General features: G+C 40.6%; 2 protein-coding genes across 5 annotated transcripts in view, besides 2 other annotated features; one reads left to right on the top strand and one right to left on the bottom strand.

Annotated features, from left to right (window-relative positions):
* POP1 (POP1 ribonuclease P/MRP subunit) overlaps positions 1–4,756 on the bottom strand; it is a 42,543-nt gene extending 37,787 nt beyond the window's left edge. For 2 of the 4 annotated variants that reach the window (NM_001145860.2, XM_011516801.3), the window contains exon 1: positions 4,659–4,756. The gene's annotated coding sequence lies outside the window, so the exon portion shown is untranslated. Of the gene's footprint in view, positions 1–4,183; positions 4,210–4,658 lie in introns of those variants that run through there. The other 2 variants (NM_001145861.2, NM_015029.3) reach the window with 2 other exon arrangements.
* Positions 4,484–4,653: an enhancer, noted in NCBI's record as "active region_27678". NCBI's record gives its function as "activates an Ori minimal core promoter by ATAC-STARR-seq in GM12878 lymphoblastoid cells {active_cell/tissue: GM12878}" and the evidence as "EXISTENCE:reporter gene assay evidence [ECO:0000049][PMID:35858748]".
* Positions 4,724–4,773: an enhancer, noted in NCBI's record as "active region_27677". NCBI's record gives its function as "activates an Ori minimal core promoter by ATAC-STARR-seq in GM12878 lymphoblastoid cells {active_cell/tissue: GM12878}" and the evidence as "EXISTENCE:reporter gene assay evidence [ECO:0000049][PMID:35858748]".
* Positions 4,878–19,705, top strand: RIDA (reactive intermediate imine deaminase A). The gene is made up of 6 exons (NM_005836.3): positions 4,878–5,017; positions 13,298–13,403; positions 15,723–15,777; positions 16,043–16,111; positions 17,505–17,560; positions 19,145–19,705. Exons 1-6 carry the CDS (start codon positions 4,953–4,955, stop codon positions 19,205–19,207), a joined length of 414 nt encoding a protein of 137 aa, NP_005827.1. The 5' UTR covers positions 4,878–4,952; the 3' UTR covers positions 19,208–19,705.
* Positions 19,706–24,203: the final 4,498 nt, after the last annotated feature.

Genomic DNA, 24,203 nt, shown 5'->3' with positions numbered 1-24,203 from the left:
GAGACCAACCTGGCCACCATGGCGAAACCCCATCTCTACTAGAAATACAAAAATTAGTTGGGTGGGCCGGGCGTGGTGGCTCACGCCTGTAATTCCAGCGCTTTGGGAGGCTGAGGCGGGCGGATCATGAGGTCAGGAGATCGAGACCATCTTGGCTAACACAGTGAAACCCCGTCTCTACTAAAAAAATACAAAAAAATTAGCCAGGCATGGTGGCGGGCGCCTGTAGTCGCAGCTACTCAGGAGGCTGAGGCAGGAGAATGGTGTGAACCCAGAAGGTGGAGCTTACAGTGAGCCCAGATCGTGCCACTGCACTCCAGCCTGGGCAACAGAGCAAGACTCCATCTCAAAAAAAAAAAAAAAATTAGTTGGGTGCAGTGGCGCGCACCTGTAGTCCCAGCTATTCGGGAGGCTGCGACAGGAGAATCGCTTGAACCCAGGAGGTGGAGGTTGCATTGAGCCGAGATGATCACACCACTGCACTCCAAGTTGGGCAATAGAGCAAGTCTCCATCTCAAAAAAAAAAAAAAAAAAAACCCGTGTAACCAATAATTTTATATAAATTAGGTACTGGGCTACTGTGGGGCTTTTCTGCACATAGCAGGCTGTCTAATATCCCTGGTCCCTGCCCAATAAATGCCAGCAATGTTAGCCCAATTATGCCAACCAAAACACCTACACAAACTTCCAAAATGCCAGCCACATCAGAATTTGCCCACTTCCACTGAGAGCCACTAAATTACCCCCCATTCACTTACTTCCTTTTCCAATGCAAGACCTCACACAAAATTAAGACTTGCCTATATGGTATAGTGTTTAAGGGCTTTCACTATGGAGTTTGAAAGATGTGGGTTCAAATTCCTTCTTTACACTTTTTAGTTACATAATCTTAGGAAAATTACTTTCTCACTTTCAGCCTCAGCCTCTTCCTCTACAAGTTGCTGTGAGAATTAAACATTATATACAGGCCAGGTGGGATGGCTTATGCCTGTAATCCCAGCACTATGGGAGGCCAAGGCGAGTGGATCACTTGAGGCCAGGAGTTCAAGACCAGCCTGGCAAACATGGTGAAATCCCATCTCTACTAAAAAATACAAAAATGAGGCCGGGAGCGGTGGTTCACGCCTGTAATCCCAGCACTTTGGAAGGCCGAGGCAGAAGGATCACAAGGTCAGGAGATCAAGACCATCCTGGCTAACACAGTGAAACCCCGTCTCTACTAAAAATACAAAAAATTAGCCGGGCGTGTTGGCGGGCGCCTGTAGTCCCAGCTACTCGGGAGGCTGAGGCAGGAGAATGGCGTGAACCCGGTAGGCGGAGCTTCCAGTGAGCCGAGATCGCGCCACTGCACTCCAGCCTGGGCGACGGAGCAAGACTCCGTCTCAAGAAAAAAAAAAAAAAATACAAAAATGAGCCACGTGTGATGGCATGCGCTTGTAATCCCAGCTGCTCGGGAGGCTGAGGCACGAGAATCCTTTGAACCCAGGAGGCGGAGATTGTGGTGAGCCGAGATCACGCCACTGCACTCCAGCCTGGGCGATAGAGTGAGACTCTGTCTCAAAATAAAAAAATGAACAAACATATACATACTGTACATGGTTTTGGCTTTGCAAAATGCATATACACAACTCACTTAGCATGGGGCTTTATGCTAACTAAATGCTCAGTTTATGGTAGCTATTATTCTTAAATAATAAATGAAATAGCAGGGATTGATGCCATTTCACTGTCTCACTCCACTAATTTCAACTAAATGAAAGACAGCTATATCTACATGCAAAAACATTTTTCAAATTAAACAGTATGAAGGAAGTAAATGGAGTTCTGCAGAACTGGCTGGCTAGTGAAGCACATGATTCAGATCGGTCTGCATTAAAAGCCATTCCAAATATTTTACAAAACAACTTAGTTAACCTACTGTTACCTGCTTGAATCAGAACTCACCAGCAAGGCTAGACAAGAACACCATAGAAACTCTAGCTCCCCTCAGTATTAGAATGGTCCAAGAAAAGGTTGGTGCTGGAGGATTAGGATAACCTTGGGAACATCCCTGAGCTTTGGGTCCAGACTAAAATATGAGGAAATCAAACTGGCAGTGGTCCTCTAACAGCAGAAGGGAATGAATATAGGATGCATCTTTATGAAGTCTGAGGATTTAATTTAAAAGTTTCCAGAGGCCTGGTGTGGTGGTTCACATCTATAATCCCAGCACTTTGGGAGGCCAAGGCGGGAGGATTGCTTGAGCTCAGGAGAAACCAACCTGAGCAACATAGTGAGAACTCATCCCTACAAAGAAATCAAAAAATAAGCTAGGCATAGTTATGAGCTTGTGGTCCCACCTACTCGGGAGGCTGAAGTGGGAAGATCGCTTGAGACAGGGAGGTCAAGGCTGCAGTGAGTGAGCCTTGATCACATTACTGCACTCCAGCCTGGGTGACAGAGCAAGACCCTGTCTCAAAAAAAAAAGTTTCCAGAAGGAATCTTAACTCTTACCTTCACCTTCAAGTCAGTTTTGTCAAACTTTAATAAGCACTAAATATGTGCTGCCTTTATAAAAATATTTTCGCCAAATCTTCAAATAAAATGGATACGTTATGTTTTCTGATACAGCTTAGTATCCTCTGGCCAGACACAACCTTTGGTGTTAGTTAGTTCCCAGTTTGAGAACCTGGGAACTAACTAGATGATGTCTATTTTCTTCCAGATCTAAAAAGTTGGTGATTCAGACTTGATATAAAATCTGTCTTAAGAATAAAGGTACCTTGTTTCACAAGAAATATTTTACACAAGTTGAATCATTTGTAATGCTCCAAAATAGCTTCTTATTTAAAAACTTAAATGGTGAATTATTTTGTAAATAAAAATATGTCTTAATTATCTAGTTTAATCAGATTTAATAAACTTTTGGGCACCTACTATGTGCCCAATAGTTTCAGGCTGTGTATAATTCCAAAGTAGAATAAGAATTTTGTCATCTTAGGCAGCATTGAGAACTTGATGTGGCAGGCACTATTCTACATGACTTATTCATTTAATTCTCACAACTCTGTGGTCACTAGTATTATTCTCATCTTATAAATGAAGAAATCGAAGCACAGAGATTTTATATACCAGTCCAAGGCTACTAAGCTTGTGATTGTGCTGAGATTCAAACCAGGCAGTCTGACTCTATCCACTATTCTTTTTTTTTTTTCCACCCCTTCCCTCTCCAATCCACTATTCTTGAAACACATAACAATTAGAAAATAGGATCTCATATAATAAAATACTAAATTATGCGGTACAGCACAATAGGAAACAGGACAAGGGAAAGAAAAAAAATGAGGCCGGGCATAATGGTTACACCTGTAATCCCTGCACTTTGGGAGGCTGAGGTGGGAGAATTGCTTGAGCCCAAGAGTTGGAGACCAGCCTGGCCAATATGAAGAAGCCCCGTCTCCACAGAAAATACAAAAATTAGCCGGGCGTGCTGGTGTGCACTTGTAATCCCAACTACTTGAGATGCTCAGGCTGGAGGATTGCTTCAGCCCAGGAGGTCAAGGTTTCAGTGAGCCAAGATCATGCCACTGTACTCCAGCCAGGGTGACAGAGTGAGATCCTGTCTTGAAAGAAAGAAAACAAAGAAAAAGAAAAGGAAAGGAAGGAAAGAAGAAAAAGAAAAAAATGTGAATTGGTAGGAAAAGTCAAAGAGAAAATAGAATTTCAGTTAGCTGGAATTTGCACAGATAAGGAAGAAAGAGTATTCAGGAATCCACAGTGTGAATACAGGAGGACTCTAGTGGGAAAAGGGAGTAGATGACAATGAAACTTGAATAGGCAAGGGGAGGCCAGACTGAAAGGTCTTTTATTCCAGGCCCCAAACCAATGAAAAAGATCAGAAGGTTCCTGAGCCGGAAGTAGGAAGGCCAAAACCTTAGCAGTATGTAGGACAAAATGAGAGGGAATAAAGCAGATTTTCTTGTATTATCTTTAGGAAGCAGGGAAGGCAGAGATTTTATTATTATTTTTTTTAACTGTTGCATTCCTCCTAGCATCTAGCAGAGTGCCTTACACAAAGTAGGGACTCATATATCTATGAGTGCCCGCATAAATGAAGAAACGAAGCGTACTTACAATGCAAATATTAACAGGATAAGAAATATTTAGCCAAGTACCACCCCTTCTGACACAGCAGAATACTTACAAGGGATCTGGGCCATTCCAGATCACCATCTTTCTTTCTGAAATGATATCCCAATCACTAGGGCTCTGTTCAGACAGTGACCTTGTAAAGCCCGAGGAGCACCCTAGAGAAGGGAACACAGGAGGAGCAGGAAAGGGAACACGGGAGGACCAACGCCCAGATCTCAGCGTGGTCGCCAGAATGACCCATATTAGTCATTTGGGGTTGCAGAAGAGGGGATGCAAGCCCATTCCCAGGACGGCCTCCACCCGGCGGGGCAATGAAGGGAAATGACTGACGTAGGGGGCTCCAGCGCAGGGGCCGAAGGAGATGCGACACCAGGGAGAGGGGCCCCGGGCACAGGCAGCAAGGAAAGAGGTCAGCGGAGTCTGAGAGAGAAACGATGAAGAGGGGAGACGGGCGCCGGGAGGGGGGCCGCCGCATACAGTTCCCCCGACACTCGCATCCTGGAAGGCACCAGCCCCTCACGACCAACCTGCCAGACGCTGTGAGGAATCCCCGGGTCAGAATGACAAGCCTCCGCGACAGTACCCACCGAGCCAAAGCTCCTGGAGAGCGCGCTGGAGAGCGCATGCGCCAGACCGGGCGCTTCCTCCACGTGGCCTGGAGCGTCGCCGAAACTACAGTTCCCAGAATGCCGCACGAGCCCGCCCCCAGCGGGAGCTGTGGGGCAGAGGCGCTGCTGTGGTTGGTCAGTCCAGTAAGAAGCCAGCAGGGCTGGTGCTGGGGCTTCTTCTCCTGAAGGGGCTGCAAGAGGGAAGGCTTAGCCATGTCGTCCTTGATCAGAAGGGTGATCAGCACCGCGAAAGCCCCAGGGGCCATTGGACCCTACAGGTAACGTGGCTGGTGGAAGCTGTGTCGGACCCAGGGCGTGCGGGTTCGGGGATTCGGGGTTGGGGCCACTCCGGGCCGGAGCCCCAGCTAACACGCAAGGAAATTGAGCCTGGAAAGTAAGCAACGCGCCCGAAGACCCACAGAGAGTTGGGAGCCACGATGGGACCAGGAACCTGCACTCCATGGGACTTTGCTCGTTCTGGGGCTGCCTCGCTGCGGAGCACAGCCTGCCAGAAAGCTCTCCCCAGTTAGAAGCCTTCAGACCCTGTGTTTTGTTTTGGGGGAGGGGGTCGTTTTTGTTTTCTTGGTAACAGCTTTATTGAGATATAATTCACGTACCGTAAGATTCACCCCCTTTAACATGTACAATTCAGTGGTTTTGACCATACTCACAGAGTTGTGCAGCCATCACCACTTTCTTCAGAACATTTTCATCACCCCAAAAATAAATCCCATCCCCATTAGCATTCACTCCCCATTCTCCTCTCCCCCGGCCCCTGACAATCTACTTGCATCTTCATGGATTTGCTTGTTGTGGACATTTCCTATAAATTGAATCATAAAACATGCAGTCCTTTATGACCAACTTCTTTCATTAGCTTCATACTTGGTCTGCCTCTCTCCCAACTGAAAAGAGCCCCATCAACAGCTCCCTCCTTTAAACCTACTGCTGTGAGAAAAGGCACTGAGATGTGGCAGAACAGGAATTATTATAGAAAACTTGGAAATAAATAAAATGCAGTAGAAGTGAGAGGGCAAGTGGGGTAGGGAGTAAAGGAGAAAAAAGACAAATTGATTTTAACTTGGGGTGGAAGAGGAAAAAGAAGATTTAGGAAGGTTCCTTGTGAGAGGTAGTCCTTTGGTTTTGAAGGTTGGTTTTGTCATTTATAGTAGTGTTGTAAAGTTTGATTTTTAAATTAATTTATTAAGGATTTCAACAGGAAGTCATTGAGTGAAGGGCATGGAGGTAGAAGTCAGGTAGAGGGAATGGCTTGAGTGAGGGCATGGAGGTAGAAGAATGCATGGTATAAAGATTTTGGGGAGAAAGTTTTCATAATTCAAGTGCTACTTCTGTCTTTTTTGTTTGTTTGTTTGCCAAATCTGTATATCACTTATAATTTACTTAACCTATTTCTTTGAGATGGCTCACTTCATTTTATTTAACAAGTTAATTGAAAAAGGAAACTTTACAACAGTACACTAAATAGAAAACAATTCAATAGAAAGTAATAGTAAAAAATAAACTCAATTAAAAAAAGGTATTATTAAATTTTAGCTAGATATTGCAGTTGGCTCAAAACCTGAGGCCTGCTCTCTCTTTGTTAAGAGTGATGTTTCTTTAGCCGGGTACTGTGGTTCACGCCTGTAATCCCAGCACTGTGGGAGGCCGAGGTAAGAGGATTGCTTGAGGTCAGGAGTTCAAGACCAGCCTGGGCAACATAGTGAGACCCCCATCTCTATTTAAAAAAAAAAAAAAGTTTAATTAAAAACTTTCAAGTGATGTTTTAATTTGTTTTCTAAAGATGATTTTTTTTCTCCTTAATGTAATCAAACGGGGTAGAGTCATCATTGCTAACATTTACTGATGCTTACTCAGCAGCATTGGGCACTATCCCTTTTTTTTTTTTTTTTTTTTTTTTTTTGGAGGCAGAGTCTCACTCTGTTGCCCAGGCTAGAGTGCAGTGGTGCAATCTCAGCTCACTGCAACCTCCACCCCACAGATTCAAGTGATTCTCATGTCTCAGCCTCCCAAGTAGCTGGGATTACAGGCAGGTGCCACCACACCCGGCTAATTTTTGTATTTTTAGTAGAGACAGGGTTTCACTGTGTTGGTCAGGCTGGTATTGAACTCCTGACCTAAAGCGATCCACCTACCTCGGCTTCCCAAAGTACTCGGATTACAGGTGTCAGCCACCATGCCTGGCCAGCACCAGGCACTGTTCTAAGTTATTTATGTGCATGGTTATATTATAGTCCCTATTTTTCAGATGAAGAAACTGATGTGTGCAAAATTAAATAATTTGCCAAAAGTTACACCACTAAAAAGTGATGTAACAAAATTTGAATTTAGGAAATGGGTACTAGAGCCTAGTCTTAATCATTTACTTTGTTGTCCCTGGTGTAGATTGAAAAAAAAAATTGGAAAAGGAATCATTTTCTTACTATGTAAGACTGTGTATAAGTCTTACTGTGTATGACTGACTCCTTTGAGAAATACTGATTAAGAGTTGGACTTTGGATTTGAATTTTTGTTTTGCCTCTTTTTAATTATATGATCTTGCAGAGTGACTTAACCTCTCTTAGTTTGCTTCTTTGTCTTCTCAATGGGCATAAATAATACCATTTGATAAGATTATTGTGGGAATTAAATAAAAGTGACCAACAAAAATTAGATTTTGGCCAGGCACAGTGGTTCACACCTGTAATCCCAGCACTTTGGGAGGCCGAGGCAGGTGGATCACAAGCTCAGGAGTTCAAGACCAGCCTGGCCAAGATGGTGAAACCCCGTCTCTACTAAAAATACCAAAAAAAAAAAAAAATTAGCTGGGTATAGTGGCGTATGCCTGTAATCTCAGCTACTCGGGAGGCTGAGGCAGTGAATTGCTTGAACCTGGAAGGCAGAGGTCGCGGTGAGCCAAGATCGCACCACTGCACTCCAGCCTGGGCTACAGAGCGAGACTCTGTCTCAAAAAAAAAAAAAAAAGATTTTAGCAGGGTACAGGTTGTGGTGGTTTCCAATACTAAATGGAAGAATATAAACTTTATTTTGTATATAATAAGGAACAATTAAATGTGGTTTTTTTCTTGTGGTTGTTGTGGTTGTGTGTTTGTATGTGTGTATATTGAGACAGTGTTTCGCTGTGTCACCCAGGCTGGAGCCGGGATCACAGCTTATTGTCGCCTCAACCTCCCGGGCTCAAGCCATCCTCCCACCTCAGCTTCCCAAGTAGCTGGGGCTACAGGCTCAGGCCACCATGCCCAGATAATTTTTGTATTTTTTATAGAGCTGGGGTTTTACCATGTTGCCCAGGCTAAATGTTTTTAAGCAGGGTGGAACATGATCAGATCTTTTAAAAAGAATTCTGATAGTAATTCTGATAGAAATTTGGAGGTAAAGAAAGTGAGAATAGTTAGGGGATATTATAAGTAAAAATTTGTGATTTTTTTTCTCCTTCTGCCCTAATGTCTTTCTCTCAATCACACAGTGGTAGCATTTAGAAAAACATCTTTACCTCCAAACAAGAGGGACACAACCAAATCAAAGTGATTATTAGAGACACTTTGTCCTGGAGCCTGCTAAAGAGCATACCCCTTCCTTGACCTATTTAGAGATACTCTGTGGACTTTGTTCAGGAAAGAAAGCATAACAGTAATGTTCCTGGTTGACTTGAAGGTAGGTGGGAGTCAACTGTCTTTATAAAGCTGAAAGCTAAAAAGAGGGGAATCATCATATGAATGTGCCAGTATGACAAGAAAAAAAGCCACCAGCCAGCTTCATGGTGTGGAGACTTCCAGGACATTGTGCCTCTTGTGCACTAGGTGACTAGAAATGGTGCTTATTTTCAATAGTTAATGTTTAAGAAAAAAAACAGACTGCAACTAACTACTTATGTTAATTGGACATGTTTTAGGAACCTTTTGGGAACAAGAGTTTTTGTGCGTGGAGTGTGTAGTGAGTACACTTTTTGAAAATCCTGGGTCCTCTCCAGGAAGAATTCAAATGTGTTGAACTTTCAGTCCCTGGCATTGGGATGGATGGGGTGTTGTCACTAATTAGCCAATCAGCTCAGCACATTTCAGGAATACTTCCAGACAGAACCTTGAAAGATTTCAACATTGCATTGCTTTGCATTGCGCATTTTGCACACCGTCCTCATAATTATAAATTTTTGAAGCAGTAGCCCGTGTGGTATAGACTATGATGTGAGAATTATTAGAATGCTTTTGAAAGTGTGATTACCCTTTAACCTGGTAGTAGAACAGTGCACTTTTAAATTTTCTGAAGTCCAACCACTTGTCTTTGGATAGTAGGATTCTTATGCTCAGAAAGTGTCAACTAGCCAATTATTCTTATGAACAAACCTCTTTAGATCTGTAAGAGATAACTCACATAGCTCAGATGGTCTCAGCTCCAGTGCTTGCTTTTTATATTTTGAAAATAAAAGAGTTTCTTTTTACTATCATGAAGTTTCTGATAAATAATAATGCATATGGTCTTAAAGTGTGTTTCAGATATGGGGAAAGCTGAAGGCACTTTGCACAGGACCTAGGGCAGACGGCCTAATTCTACACAGGACAGTTAATAAAAAACAGTGTTACTGATGGTATTATTTAACCCGAGAAAAGATTACAAATTAACAAACTCAGTAGTTATCTATTTGTGGGCCAGTATGAAAGCCAGATAGTTGAGAAGACTTTCTAGACTTTCTGAATCATGTTATCAAGTTTAAACATACCTCCTTAGCTCTCTCCAAAGCATTTGCTGTAAGTCAACAGGTCCTGCTAAAAAGAGATTCACTGACAACCAAAATTGTTTATGCTACTAAGTGGTTAAAGAGCAAAACATCAGCAAGTAGTTATAGTGTGCCTACTGTATGCAAGGAATCACCTACACCCTACACAGCTACAGAGACATGGTAAGACATTACCCTGACCTCAAGGAGTTTAGAGTCTAAGATACCTTGGGAGACAGGATAATAACAGGATGAGTTACAACACGAGGCAGGATCCTGTACATAGTATAAGGAAGATACAACCAAAGCACTCCTGGGATCCAGGGGAAAGAAAAGCTTAGTTACTTAGAGAAAGTGTGTGTGTGTGTGTGTGTGTGTGTGTTTAGTATAGTTTTATTTATGATAACAAAATATCAGAAGCAATGGTGACTCATTAAATAAAGTACATCTATATTGTAAAACATATGTAGCTGTTAAAAAAAATGAGGAAGCACTCTACATATACTTATGGAAAGATCTTCATGATATTCTGTTGAGTGAAAAAAACAAAGTGTACAAGAATGTTTAATATACCATATTTTATGTAAAAGAAGAGAGAAAATATATATTTGTTTTGGTTATCTGTTCATTAAAAAAACTGGATGAATACATAAAGAAGAACAATGGTTCTGGGCTGGGAACTGAGCAAATAGGGAACAAGAATGGAAGAAAGACTTTTCACTGCAATTCTTTGTGTATTTTCTGGATTTTTGAACCATATGAACTCCTATTCAAAAATAAATTATAAAGGGAAAAAAAAGATGTGGTCAAGAAGACCAGGAAAACTTCATGAAATAAAAGAGGAAAGTTTGGAGCATGTTGGAAAATGGAAGAATAGGGAACTAAAAGAAGATGATTAAAATGAGACTATCTTAAATTTATAAATAAGCATAGAAATTTTAAAACAAATTTCACTTCTTTTTTTTTTTTTTTGACACAGAGTCTTGCTCTGTTGCCCAGGCTGGAGTACAGTAACGTGATCTTGGCTTACTACAACCTCCACCTCCCAGGTTCAAGTGATTCTCATGCCTCAGCCTCCCAAGTAGCTGGAATTACAGGTGTGCACCACCACTGGCTAATTTTTGTGTTTTTTAGTAGAGACAGGATTTCCCCATGTTGGCAAGGCTGGCCTTGAACTCCTGGCCTCAAGTGGTCTGCCCGCCTCAGCCTCCCAAAGTGCTGGGATTATAGGCATGAGCCACCATGCCCTGCCACATTTCACTTCTAAATTAAAATTACATTAAGTCTTCTTTCTTCAACATTTTAAAAAAACAGATAGGCTTTCTTCATCCCAAAATTAATATCATTCCTATAAAAAGTAGACTTGTTTGGCTTTTTTTCAGGTATCAATGTATTGTTTTCTTTTTCCTGTGATTTTATCCTACTTCTGAAATTTAGCATCCTCATAACAGAAAAAGTCAGTTACAGAAGTAAGCACTTTGCAGAAATGAAGTTGTATTAGTTCGTTTCCACACTGCTATAAAGATACAACCCGAGTATTTATAAAGAGGCTTAATTGACTCACTGTTCCACATGGCTGGGGAGGCCTCAAGAAACTTACAATAATGGCGGAAGGGGAAGAGGCACATCGTATATGATGGCAAGCAAGAGAGAGTGTACATGTGTAGGAGGAACTGTCAGACACTTATAAAACTGTTAGATCACGTGAGAACTCACTATCATGAGAACAGCATGGGGGAAACTGCCCCCATGGTCCAGTCACCTCCCACCAGGTCCTACTCTCAACATGTGGGGATTATGGGCATTACAATTCCAGATGAGGTTTGGGCAAGGACACAGCCAAGCCATATCAGAAGTGGACCCTCAAAAGTATATCCTTAATTGATCCTCCAATAAGCAGTGACTAATCTTGTCTGAAGATGACTACTTATGTTTTTAAAAGTGCTCTTGAAATTGCATTTTTTTGCTTTACAGCTATATTGAGGTATAAGTTACTTATAAAAGTTACCCATTTTAATGGCTGGGTGTGGTGGCCCACGACTGTAATCCCAGCACTTTGGGAAGCGGAGGCAGGCGGATCACCTGAGGTCAGGAGTTCAAGACCAGCCTGGCCAACATGGCAAAACCCCATCTCTACTAAAAATGCAAAAATTAGCTGGGCGTGGTGGCTCACACCTGTAATCCCAGCTACTTGGGAGGCTGAGGCAGAATTGTTTGAACCCGGGAGGCGGAGGTTGCAGTGAGCCAAGATTGTGCCACTGCACTCCAGCCTGGGTGACAGAGTGAGACTCCATCTCAAAAAAACAAGTCACCCATTTTAATTAAGTGTAGTGTTCCATGAGTTTTAGTAAATGTATAGAATCATGCATCCACTATAATAGTCAAATTTTAGAATATTTCTATCACTCCCAAAAAATTCCCTTGTACCCATTTATGATCACCCCTGGCCCTAGACAACAATTAATAATCTGCTGCTGCTATTTTCTTTTCTAAGGTTTCATTTAAGTGAAATAAGACAATATATAGTCCTTTGTTGGATCTATCAGTGGGTGCATGTGTGTGTGTCTTGCTTTTTTGCTATAAATAATGCTATTCTGAACATTCACGTAAACTCTTTGGACATATGTTTTCATTTCTCTTGGATAGTTGCCTAGGAAAGAAATTGCTGAGTTGAGGCTCAAGCCTGTAATCCCAGCACTTTGGGAGGCCAAGGCAGGAGGATCACTTGAGTCCAGGAGTTTGAGACCAGCCTAGGCAACATAGCAAGACCTCATCTCTACAAAAAATAAAAATAAGTAAATAATAAAATAAAAAATTAGCCAGGCATGGTGGTGCACACCTTTAGTCTCAGCTACTTAGGAGGCTGAGATGGGAGGATCACTTGGGCCTGGGAGGTCAAGGCTTCAGTGAGCCAACATCCTACCACTGCACTTCAGCCTGGGTGACAGAGCAAGATCCTGTCTCTAAAAGAAGAGTTTGCTGGGTTGTATGTTAAATATATGTTTAAATTTTTAAAGAAACTGCCAAACTATTTTCTAAAGTGGCTGTACCATTTTGCATTACTACCGACAATGTATGAGGGTTGCTCCCCATCATTGCCAATGCTTACTTTATCAGTGATGTCTTAGTGTGTGGTTTTGCTTTGCATTTCTCTAATGACTACTAATGTTGAGCAAATTTCATGTACTCTAACTCTTTGTATATTTTCTTTTGTGAAGTATCATTTGCTCATATTTTATTGGGTTTGTCTTCACATTATTGACTTTTAAGAGTTCTTCTTATATTCTGGATATAGGTACTTTATTAGGTATATGTTTTGCAAATATTTTTCTCCCAATCTATGACTTGCCTTTTCTTCCCCCGACCCCTTTTTTTATTTTGGGTCTTTCTCTGTTACTCAGTGCCACTGAGGCTGGAGCGCAGTGGTATACTCATGGCTCACTTCAGCCTTCAACTCCTGGGCTCAAGCAATTCAATCACCCTAGCCTCCTGAGTAGCTGGGACTACGGGTGTGCGTCACCATACTTGGCTGTTTTTTATTGTTTTTTGTAGAGACTGAGTGGTTGCCCAGGCTGATCTCAAACTCCTGGTCCCAAGCGATCCTCCTGCTTCACCCTCCCAAAGCACTAGGATTACAGCACCCAGCCCCTTTTCATTTTCTTAAAGATATCTTTGATAAACAAAAGTTTTCAATTTTCATGAAGTCCAATGTATCTGTTTTTTTTTTTTTACAATTTATACTTCTCTGTCCTATCAAAAAAGTCTTCTAGCATTGAATTTTATGTTTTATACTTACATAAATACACTAGCTTTCTGTTTATTGCAGTCAAGCTGTATTAGTCGACAGGACCATTTACATTTCAGGACAGATAGGCATGGACCCTTCAAGTGGACAGCTTGTGTCAGGAGGGGTAGCAGAAGAAGCTAAACAAGTAAGTTATTTTCCACATTTAAGGTTCCCTTTTCTACTACCTTTTTAATGTTGAAGAGCATTAAGAATCCACTTGCCTGATTTGTTTTATAGAGATTAACAGATAAATGTTTTTTAAACTACTTACTGCTTGATTTAACATAGTTTTTGATCTAAGAGTTGGAAATTTGATGGATCATGAATCATCTAACAACCAAAAGAGAGATTCCACCTCCTTAACACTAAGGTGACCTTAAACCTGAATTATTGACGTCAGATGACATGTTGCCACTTCCACATGGATTGGGAAATTTTCTTCTCAGGGCCACTGACCTGCCCCTCTTCAAAAAAAAAAAAAAATTACCACCACAGAAGTAAAAAGTCAACATTTTTAAAAATAAGAATGGGGAATATAATTTTAATCCAATAAATATAATTAAACCATAATTTAGGCCAGGCACGATGTGGCTCACACCTGTAATCCTAGCACTTTGGGAGGCCGAGGCTGGCAGATCACTTGAGGTCAGGAGTTCAAGACTAGCCTAGACAACATGGTGAAACCCCATCTCTACTAAAAATACAAAAATTAGTTGGGGGAGGCCAGGCACAATGGCTCACACCTGTAATCCCAGCACTTTGGGAGGCCGAGGCGGGCAGATCACCTGAGGTCAGGAGTTCAAGACCAGCCTGGCCAACATGGTGAAACCCCGTCTCTACTGAAAATACAAAAATTAGCCAGGTGTGGTGGCATGTGCCTGTAGTCCCAGCTACTCGGGAGGCTAAGGCATGAGAATCGTTTGAACCCGGAAGGCGGAGGTTGCAGTGAGCTGAGATTGTGCCACTCCACTCTAGCCTGGGCAACAGAGCAAGAACCCTGTCTCAAAAAAAAAATAGAAAAAAAAAGTAACCCAGTCAGGTGGCACATGCCTGTAGTCCCAGTTACTCAGGAGGCTGATGCAGAAGAATCGCTTAAACCTGGGAGGTGGAAGTTGCAGGAAGCCAAGATCGTGCCACTGCACTCCTGCCTGGGACACAGAGCAAGACACTGTCTCAAAAAATAAAATAAAATAAAACAATAAACTATAATTTACTGCATTTACTGAGTCATATAATGCTGAAAGTTTGTTTTGTTTTGTTTTGTTTCTTGAGACAGCCTTGCTCTGTCGCCCAGGCTGGAGTGCAGTGTCGTGATCTCAGCTCACTGCAACCTCTGTCTTCCAGGTTCAAGCAATTCTCTTGCCTCAGCCTCCCAAGTAACTGGGACTACAGGCACACGCCACCACACCTGGCTTATTTTTTGTATTTTTAGTAGAGACGGGGTTTTACCGTGCTAGCCAGGATGGTCTCGATCTCCTGACCTCATGATCCACCCACCTCAGCCTCCCAAAGTGCTGAGATTACAGGCATGAGCCTCCACACCCGGCCTAGCTGAAAGATTTTTAAAAACCTAAATATCCACTCATAAAGAACTGGTTGAATAAATTATGCTAGATCAATACAACTAAAGTAATGTGGAAAGATCTCCGAGGTAAATTGTTCCATGGTAATAAAACCAAGATGCAGAACAACATGCACAGTATGCTACCATGTGTGCTTGTGTGTTTAAAAATATGTAACATAAGCATTGACTGTACCTAGAAGGATATACAATAAATTAGGAACAGTGGTTACCTCTGAGGAGGGAAACTTGGGAGAGGGAGAGAGGGGTGAGAGATATCTTTACACGGTATATGCTTTTTTAATAGCTTTTGAGTTTTTTTGTTGTTGTTGTTGCCATATCCATGTATTACCTATTTAGAAGATTATTTTAAAAGACACAAGAATATAATGAAATATTGCATTGTGACCAGCAAAGTGGGAAGAGTGAATCCAAAAAAAGATAAATGTTTTTCCAGAAGCCAGTGTCTCCAACTGTTATATAATTTACTAATATTGTTTTTTTGAGAAAAAGGAAAAAGAACCCTTTGAAGTCAAATATTGCTTTAAAAGAAAATATGTTTTAATGCTTACTAGCTCATCCTTATCCTTGACGTGATATCGAATGAAGAACACCAGAAATTATTTCTGTGGACATTGGCTGAACAATTAACACATTTTAGCACTGAAGAAGGAACTTCAACCTAGTCTTTTTACGCACAAAAGGAGACAACATTTTCACCATATATCAGAAAGACTCATTCTATTAAAGGAAAGCCAAGAAACACACTTGTAAGCGAGTAGGGAGGATTTTTCTGCAACATAGGCTATTTAAGGAGGTATTAGTAAAAGATGATTAATTGAATTTAATTAAAGCTTTAAATCTAACATCAGTGACTTAGGCCTTTCTTGGCTTGGTTCACAGGCTCTTAAAAACATGGGTGAAATTCTGAAAGCTGCAGGCTGTGACTTCACTAACGGTGAGCAATTTGATATTATTTCACATTTCTTTTTGATATTTCTTTGGTCTTTTTGAAAAATATATGGCATCCAGTAAGATGCCGTGCCATATCTTTGTTGCTATTTAAAAGTTGTTTTAAATAGCAACTGTTCTACTTCACTTCTTTGGTCCCATTTCAGTCCCATTTTAATCAAGACAGTCTCAGATTCATACACTCTTTTTCTAAGTAATGTTTTGGGTCAGACCAAATAACTAAACCTAATGACAATGTTTATATCTTCTAGTGGTGAAAACAACTGTTCTTCTGGCTGACATAAATGACTTCAATACTGTCAATGAAATCTACAAACAGTGTAAGTAATTTGGCTTTATTCCTATTTTCCATTTTTAAAAAGAAAGAAATCTGGTCACATTAATGAATGTGCATTATGAATTAAGAGTGGTAGGAGATGCTAAAGAAATGGTCATAGATCTTAAAAGAATTAATAATCTGATTGGAAATATGTTGTATACCCCCCATGAAAAAGTTCTAAGACATTTCTATTGCATTCCCTAAAACAATATACTGAAATCCTACATATCCATTTTTCAAAAGCTTAATTTCATTAAATCCTTCTCAGGCTTTTTAAACTCTCCTAACAAGTTTTTTATGCATAGATTTTATTTACTGTGGCTGTATGGTGCAGCCACCATCTTTATCCTGGCTCTCTCAGACTCATTAGTTAGTTACTTAATATTTCTATGCCTTGGTTTTCTCATATGCAAAATGGAGATAATATACTCCTAACTTATAGGGTTGTTGGAATGATTAAATGAGTCAGTACAACATGTAAAGCACTTAGATGCTGGTGTGTTATAAGCACTGAGTAAATGTTAGCTATTATTAACATTGATGTTATAGTAGGGAAAATTGGTGTCCCCAACACCTAATGGGATGAGGCAAAGGTATAACTTGGAAAAAGCATCGTTACTTATTCTCTCCTGAAGAAATTATTAGAAAAGACCAAAGTTGGCAGAGGAAGTACTTGCCAAAATTTCTGGAGATGGGCACTTGTTCCCTATTTAGATAAATAGTTTATAAATATCACTTTAAAAACAAAACTCCATTCACATCAAACAAGATCAAAATGTTAGGGTATGTATTTCTTTTTTTTTTTTTTTTTTTTTTTTGCCAGAAAGCTAAGAGATTTTAAAAAGTATTAACTATCATAGGAATCATATGGCAAAATATTTTATCAAACAAATCTGATAGTGAGCCTCTTTTTTAAAATGTTGCTTAAGGCCAGGAGCAGTGGCTCACACCTATAATCCCAGCACTTTGAGAGGCTGAGGTGGGTGGATCACTTGACATTAGGAGTTTGAGACCAGTCTGGCCAACATGGTGAAGCCCCGACTCTACTAAAAATACAAAAATGAGCCAGGCATGGTGGTGCACACCTGTAATCCCAGCTACTCGGGAGGCTGAGGCAGGAGAATCTCTTGAACATGGGAGACAGAGGTTGCAGTAAGCTGAGATCGCATCACTTCACTCCAGCCTTGGGCGATAGAGCAAGACTCTGTTTCAAAAAAATAAAAATAAATGTTGCTTATATCTAAGAACTGACTAGTATATGAAATATTTGCCAGATTATTAATTGTAGATATTGAATAACAATAGAATATCTGAAAACTAAAATAAAAATTTTCACTTGATCTTTATTTTTTCAACTCTTCTCTATTAAAAAAATGAAATTCTTTTAAATTCAGATTTCAAGAGTAATTTTCCTGCTAGAGCTGCTTACCAAGTTGCTGCTTTACCCAAAGTAAGTACACTTTAAATGACTAATGTACACAGTTTTCAGTTTCTACATTGTTTTCCTTCTATAAGTAAACTAAGCACTGTGAAAGGAAACTTAAAAGAAGTAGCCTGGGCAGGGTGGCTTACCCCTGTAATCCCAGTGCTTTGAGAGGCCAACACAGGAGGATCGCTTGAGGCCAGGAGTTCTAGACCAGCCTGGGCAACATAGCAAGACAGCCATCCCTACAAAAACAATTTAAAATTAGCCATGCATGGTGGTGGTGCACACCTATAGTCCCAGCTACTTGGTAGGCTGAGGTGGGAGGAACACTTGAACCCAGGAGTTCAAGGCTGCAGTGAGCTATAATCGAACCACTGTGCTGCAGCCTGGGTAACAGTGTGACCTTGTCTCTTAAAAAAAAAAAAAAAAAGAAAAGAAATAGACCCTGCTTCCCCAGGGACTTAAAGTCTGAAAGGAAATATCCCATATTACATGCATGAAAAAAAAATTAAGAAACCTTTTAAGACAGCACATGAACATAGAATCAGAATCAAAATACTTAAATTGTGAGAAAAGGCCAGGCGCGGTGGCTCACGCCTGTAATCCCAGCGCTTTCGGAGGCCGAGGCGGGCGGATCACAAGGTCAGAAGATCGAGACCATCCTGGCTCACATGGTGAAACCCGTCTCTACTAAAAATACAAAAAAAAATTAGCCGGGTGTGGTGGCGGACGCCTGTAGTCCCAGCTACTCGGGAGGCTGAGGCAGGAGAATGGCATGAACCCAGGAGGCAGAGCTTGCAGTGAGCCGAAATCGCGCCACTGCACTCCAGCCTGGGCGACAGAGCGAGACTCCATCACAAAAAAAAAAAAATTGTGAGAAAAAATAAAATAGCAGCTGTACTGTTGTAGTGTTACTTAGGGGACTATAAATTTGAGCCAGGTTTGTTTGTGAGTTCTGCAGTAAAAATTTCACCTGGATATTGTACAATTAAAAATCTAAGCCTTCCACTAGAAAAATAATCTCTAAACCAGGGGCACACATATTTCTCACCATTTTGATTTTGCTACTTTTAACTCAAAGCTTAGCAGCACAATATTCCTGCCTATAAAAAAGCAGCTCTTACTGACTTCCACTTGCAGTTTCTACTAAAGAAAATTTATGTTTTAAGAGTGTCATTTGTATTGCTTTAATTAGTTGTTACTTGGAATGATCATTATCAAACCTATTAAGGTACTGGGTGTAGTAGAAAGAGCTCTGAACTTGGAATCACAAGACAAGGGTTCAACCTCTGCTATCTAGCTTGTGACTTGGGATGACTTAATTACTCCTTCTACACTTCAGCATATCATTCTGTGAATTGAGGGGAAAATACGTCTCTAATAGGGCTTCTGTGAGAATCACATAAGCTAATATAGTATATGAATATACCTAGCATGGTAACCTGGTCTGTTATAGGTTCTTGGTGAATATTTCCTTCTCCTTTCCTTCCTTGAAAAGTTTAATGTTAAAAATGTTATATTGCTGTTGGTTGCATGTTTTTAGTAGGTATTATAGAGTTTGCAATTTGTACAAAATGATTACAACAAATTCTTTCATTTTCCTCACAGGGCAGCCGAATTGAAATTGAAGCAGTAGCTATCCAAGGACCACTGACAACGGCATCACTATAAGTGGGCCCAGTGCTGTGTAGTCTGGAATTGTTAACATTTTAATTTTTACAATTGATGTAACATCTTAATTAACCTTTTAATTTTCACAATTGATGACAGTGTGAGTTTGATGAAAATATCTGAAGCTATTATGGAAATACCATGTAATAGGGAGAGTTGAACATGAATATTAGAGAAGGAATCCAGTTACTTTTTTAAATTACACCTGTGTGCACCTGTATTACTGAATATAGGAAAGAGATACCCATTACATAGTTACTCAGTAAACAAAAGAGAAATACCAGGTAGGAAAGAAGAGTTACTATTCCTGAGAAATAATCAAGAACATATTTAATTTAAACTAATGATGTGAACTATTTAGTTTTGATGTCCGTTATGTGATTCTGCTTTTACTTGAGTAAAATTAAAGTGTTTAAATTTGAGATCAAGGAGAAGATAGTGGAACAAAATGTTATATAGATAATATTTTTCTAATGGAAATAAAATAGGCAGATTTCCTTTGGTGTGATTTTGTTCACTTATTTCTTAACAGTTTATACATTAAAACGTATTGCCTAGTGGGGGCAGGTAAAGTTAAAATCTCCAACTATTTCATTTTTCAAAGCCTACTTCTGACTTCATACACTTTTTTTTGTTTTTGTTTTTGTTTTTTATTTTTGAGACAGAGTCTCGCTGTGTCTCCCAGGCTGGAGTGCAGTGGCGCGATCTCGGCTCACTGCACGCTCCGCCTCCCGGGTTCACACCATTCTCCTGCCTCAACCTCCTGAGTAGCTGGGACTACAGGCGCCCGCCACCACTCCCGGCTAATTTTTTTTTTATATTTTTAGTAGAGACAGCGTTTCACCGAGTTAGCCAGGACGGTCTCGATCTCCTGACCTCATGATCCGCCTGCCTTGGCCTCCCAAAGTGCTGGGATTACAGCTGTGAGCCACCGTGCCCAGCTGACTTCATACACTTTTATACAGTTTATTTTTTTCAACAGTTATGGCCAGCTATTACATGAAACCTCATTTAAACTTTCTAGTCTTCAGCAGTTTTGGCCATTTACAGTGTTGCAGAATTTGCATGTAAATTTTCACATTTGTAGACATCTTTTTAATCTCTGCTATATCTGTCCCCCCTTTTCATCAATGATATGATTTATTTGGGCTTCTTTTTTTTTTCTTTATCTGTCTTTGCCAGAAGTTTATTAATTTTATTAATCTTCTTAAAGAACCACTTTTTGGCTTTGTTGATCCTTTCTATTATATCTTTCTTTTCTTTATCATTATTTCTGCTCTTATATGTATTATTTTCTCCAGCTCATTGATAAGTCATTTTTTTCTACTTTTAATATTAAGAGTCTTTTATTAGTAAGTTACAGAAACCCAACTCAAACTAGTATTAAGTGGAGAAAAGAGATAAATGCATAGGCTTAGGCCACAGAGGCCAGAGTACAGCTGGCTTTAGGCACATGTAGCCCAGAAACCTCGTGGCTCCATCCGTCTCTTGGGGGAAGATGCTGCAGACCCCAGATACAGGCTATGAGTGCACTAACCCCAGCAGAAAGATAACCATTTCCTGATCTCTCTGGCAGGAGAATCTCAGGGAAGCCTCTGGTCCAGCTCAGCTTAAGTTCCCGTTCCTAAGCCAAAGCCAGGAAATTAGACACCCTGGCCAGGTTGGGTCTAGGGGGAATACTTGTATATACGTCATGACTTCAAAATCAAACTCTAGAATGAAAGAGCTGGAAATAAGATGCTGGTACCCATGTTAATTAATTTGTTAGTGGCTGGGTCTTGGCTTGGCTTTTTTTCCACACTGAAGGAGAATCACTAGAATTTGTTAAATTTTTGTGGGGGAGTGGGGAACATTGCATGTTGGTCTTTTTATTTTTTTTATTTTTTGAGATGTTCTCACTCTGTCACCCAGGCTGGAGTGCAGTAGCACAATGATGTCTCATGGTAGCCTCAGTCTCCTGGCTGAAGCATTCCTCCCACTTCAGCCTCCTGAGTAGCTGGGATTACAGACACATACCACCACACCTGACTAATATTTTTATGTTTTTGTAAAGACAGGGTCTCATTATATTGCCCAGGTTAGTCTTGAACTCCTGGCCTCAAGCAGTCCTCCCACCTCAGCCTCCCAAGATTAATTTAAAGTCTGCTTTTTTTTCTGAAGAACACAACAAATCAAATGAAATGGTTTCTGTAAAACAATTCAGATAAAAAATACAGCAAGATCAACTTTTTAACACTTTATTAGTTCTAATAACATATTTATTCAATCAAAATTATAAATGTTGACCCAGCAGTATGAATAATTTCATTAAAATTTTGGCCATAATTTCCCATAAAGCCAATTATTTTTAGTTATAAGGAAATTGCCATGATTACATAAGAAAAAAGAGCATTTGTTACCAACAAATACTTACAGAATGACAAACTTGTACTAGACTTAGGGGAGGAGAATGAAGTTTGAACTAACTTTCCTATCCTCAGAAGAGCTTACAATTTTTCTCACTTCTGCCATGTGTTTAGCAATTGGAAAGCATGAAAAATAACTCCAAATAAAGGATTCCATTTCAGTGAATTATTCATCTGGCATAAATCATAAATTGTGGTCAGCTAAGTGCTAATGTGCTTAGGCAGAGTTGCTTACTCTGCAGCACTAATCAATGTTTATGAATATAGCAAGAATTACTGGAACATTCTCTATGACCTATTATCTCCAATGGATTAAGTGCTGACTCATTGACTCAACAGACTCAAAATTCTATTGATAGTTGTGCTTTGACTAACTTGTTATTGCAACAAGTTTTGCAATTAAAAAAATAATCCCTCATGTCCATCAACATACTAACAGTGATCATCTTTGATGAATTATGGGTAATATTTCATCTTTTAAAGTTTATATTTTCTGAAGTTTCTACAGTGAACATGTATTGTTTTATACTAAGAAAAAAGTAATTATTTTAATAACATCCTTCTTTTGTAATTATTGCCTAAAATAGTCATTCTGTTACATATAAGTACCTAGGCAGAAAGTGTTATTTCTACCCCCGCCAAGAACACCAAAAAAATGTTGTTTAAAAACTCTTATATCCAGAAACTTGAAGATAATCTATACTGATCCACTAAATAACTGCTATCTGAAATCACTATTACTTTGTTCTCCACTGAACTGCTAAGGGTGTGGTGGTGGTTGGAAAAGTCACCATTGGGCCTTGTGACTTTCTAGTGAGGTGCTGGGCCCCAAACCCTCTCTCCAACCCAAAGCTACTCTACAACAGTACAGCTGCCATGGAAAGCCTCTTCTCTTGTCATTGAACGACTCTTTTTTTTTCTTTTTTGAAATGGAGTCTCACCCTGTCGCCCAGGCTGGAGTGCAGTGGCGCATCTCAGCTCACTCCAACCTCCGCCTCCTGGGTTCAAACGATTCTCCTGCCTCAGCCTCCCGATACAGGTGCCCGACATCACACTCAGCTAATTTTTGTATTTTTAGTAGAGACGGGGTTTCACCATGTTGGCCAGGCTGGTCTGGAACTCCTGACCTCGTGATCTGCCTGCCTCGGCCACCCAAAGTGCTGGGATTACAGGCGTGAGCCACCGTGCCCAGCCAAAATGACTCTTTTAAAAGTGTTTAGAGGCTATAATCCCAGCTACTCAGGAGGCTGAGGCAGGAGAATCGCTTGAACCCGGGAGGCGGAGGTTGCAGTGAGCTGAGATCGCACCACTGCACTCCAGCCTGGGTTACAAGGGTGAAACTCCATCTCAAAAAAAAAAAAAAAAAAAAAAAAAAAGAATCAGGGCTGGGTGTGGTGGCTCATGCCTGTAATCCCAGCACTTTGGGAGGCCAAGGCGGGCGGATCACCTGAAGTTGGGAGTCCGAGACTAGCCTGGCCAACTTGGTGAGACCCCGTCTCTACTAAAAATACAAAAATTAGGTGGGTGTAGTGGCGTGCACCTGTAGTCCCAGCTACTCGGGAGGCTGAGGCAGGAGAATGACTTGAACCCAGGCGGCAGAAGTTGCTGGAGCCACTGCACTCCAGCCTGGGTGACAGAGTGGGACTCTGTCTAAAAAAAAAAAAAAAAAGTGTTTAGAATCACACAAATCAATTCAATACAACATGCATCATTTTAAATTTATGTGATAGTATGAATCGCCATACTTACTTTTATTAAGAAATTTTAAGGCCAGGCGTGGTGTCTTATGCCTGTAACCCCAGCACTTTGGGAGGCTGAGGCAGGCAGATCACTCGAGGTCAGGATTTCGAGACCAGCCTGACCAACATGGTGAAACCCCTCGCTACTAAAAATACAAAAATTAATCGGGCCTGGTGGTACATGCCTGTAGTCCCAGCTACTTGGGAGGCTGAGGCAGGAGAATGGCTTGAACTCACGAAGTGAAGGTTGCAGTGAGCCGAGATCATGCCATTGCACTCCAGCCTGGGAGATAGAGCAAGACTCTGTCTCAAAAAAAAAAAGAAAAGAAAAGAAAAGAAATTTTAGAAATGTCTATATTCTATGAGAAAACAAAATGAGGCAGATCTCAAAACAAAATTGGTATCCCCAGTTGGTTTCTCAGAAATCTTTTTCTGGAAATTAGTGAGGTTTGCAGACCTCTGTCCGCAGTGGTGGATGGAAGTAGCATGTTTATTAATTTCAGTAGCACATTATTAAACCGAAGGAGTATTTTAGAATAATATAGGTTGGCCTTTCTTCTACCTTTGGGAGTTATTAAACCCTGGCTTTGATGTCCAGAGACCTCTTTCATTAGGCACAAGAATAATGATATGGTTGTTAACTTTTAACAACTCAAATGTTCCCCAATAAATGTGCTGAGTGGTGGTACTGACCAGTAAAGCAAAAAGCCTGCAATTTGCCTGTACATGGATTACTAATGCCAACTTTTGTTGATACTAAAAGGAACTGGAAGGGAAATTCCATACTTGTCAGCTGCTCTCTAAAATTACACCAATTCTGCATAGGCAATTAAAGCCTTGAGATTATAACCA

This window comes from Homo sapiens, chromosome 8, assembly GCF_000001405.40.
Source record: "Homo sapiens chromosome 8, GRCh38.p14 Primary Assembly".
NCBI lineage: Eukaryota > Metazoa > Chordata > Mammalia > Primates > Hominidae > Homo > Homo sapiens.
Note: the sequence above shows the minus strand (reverse complement) of the source record. Positions and strands in the feature narration are given on the sequence as shown.

Coding starts and splice junctions, on each gene's coding strand:
- RIDA (NM_005836.3), top strand. CDS start 4,953: ATGTCGTCCTTGATCAGAAGGGTGATCAGCACCGCGAAAGCCCCAGGG. Junction 5,018..13,297: donor GGGGCCATTGGACCCTACAG/GTAACGTGGCTG, acceptor TGTTTATTGCAG/TCAAGCTGTATTAGTCGACA. Junction 15,778..16,042: donor AGGCTGTGACTTCACTAACG/GTGAGCAATTTG, acceptor TATATCTTCTAG/TGGTGAAAACAACTGTTCTT.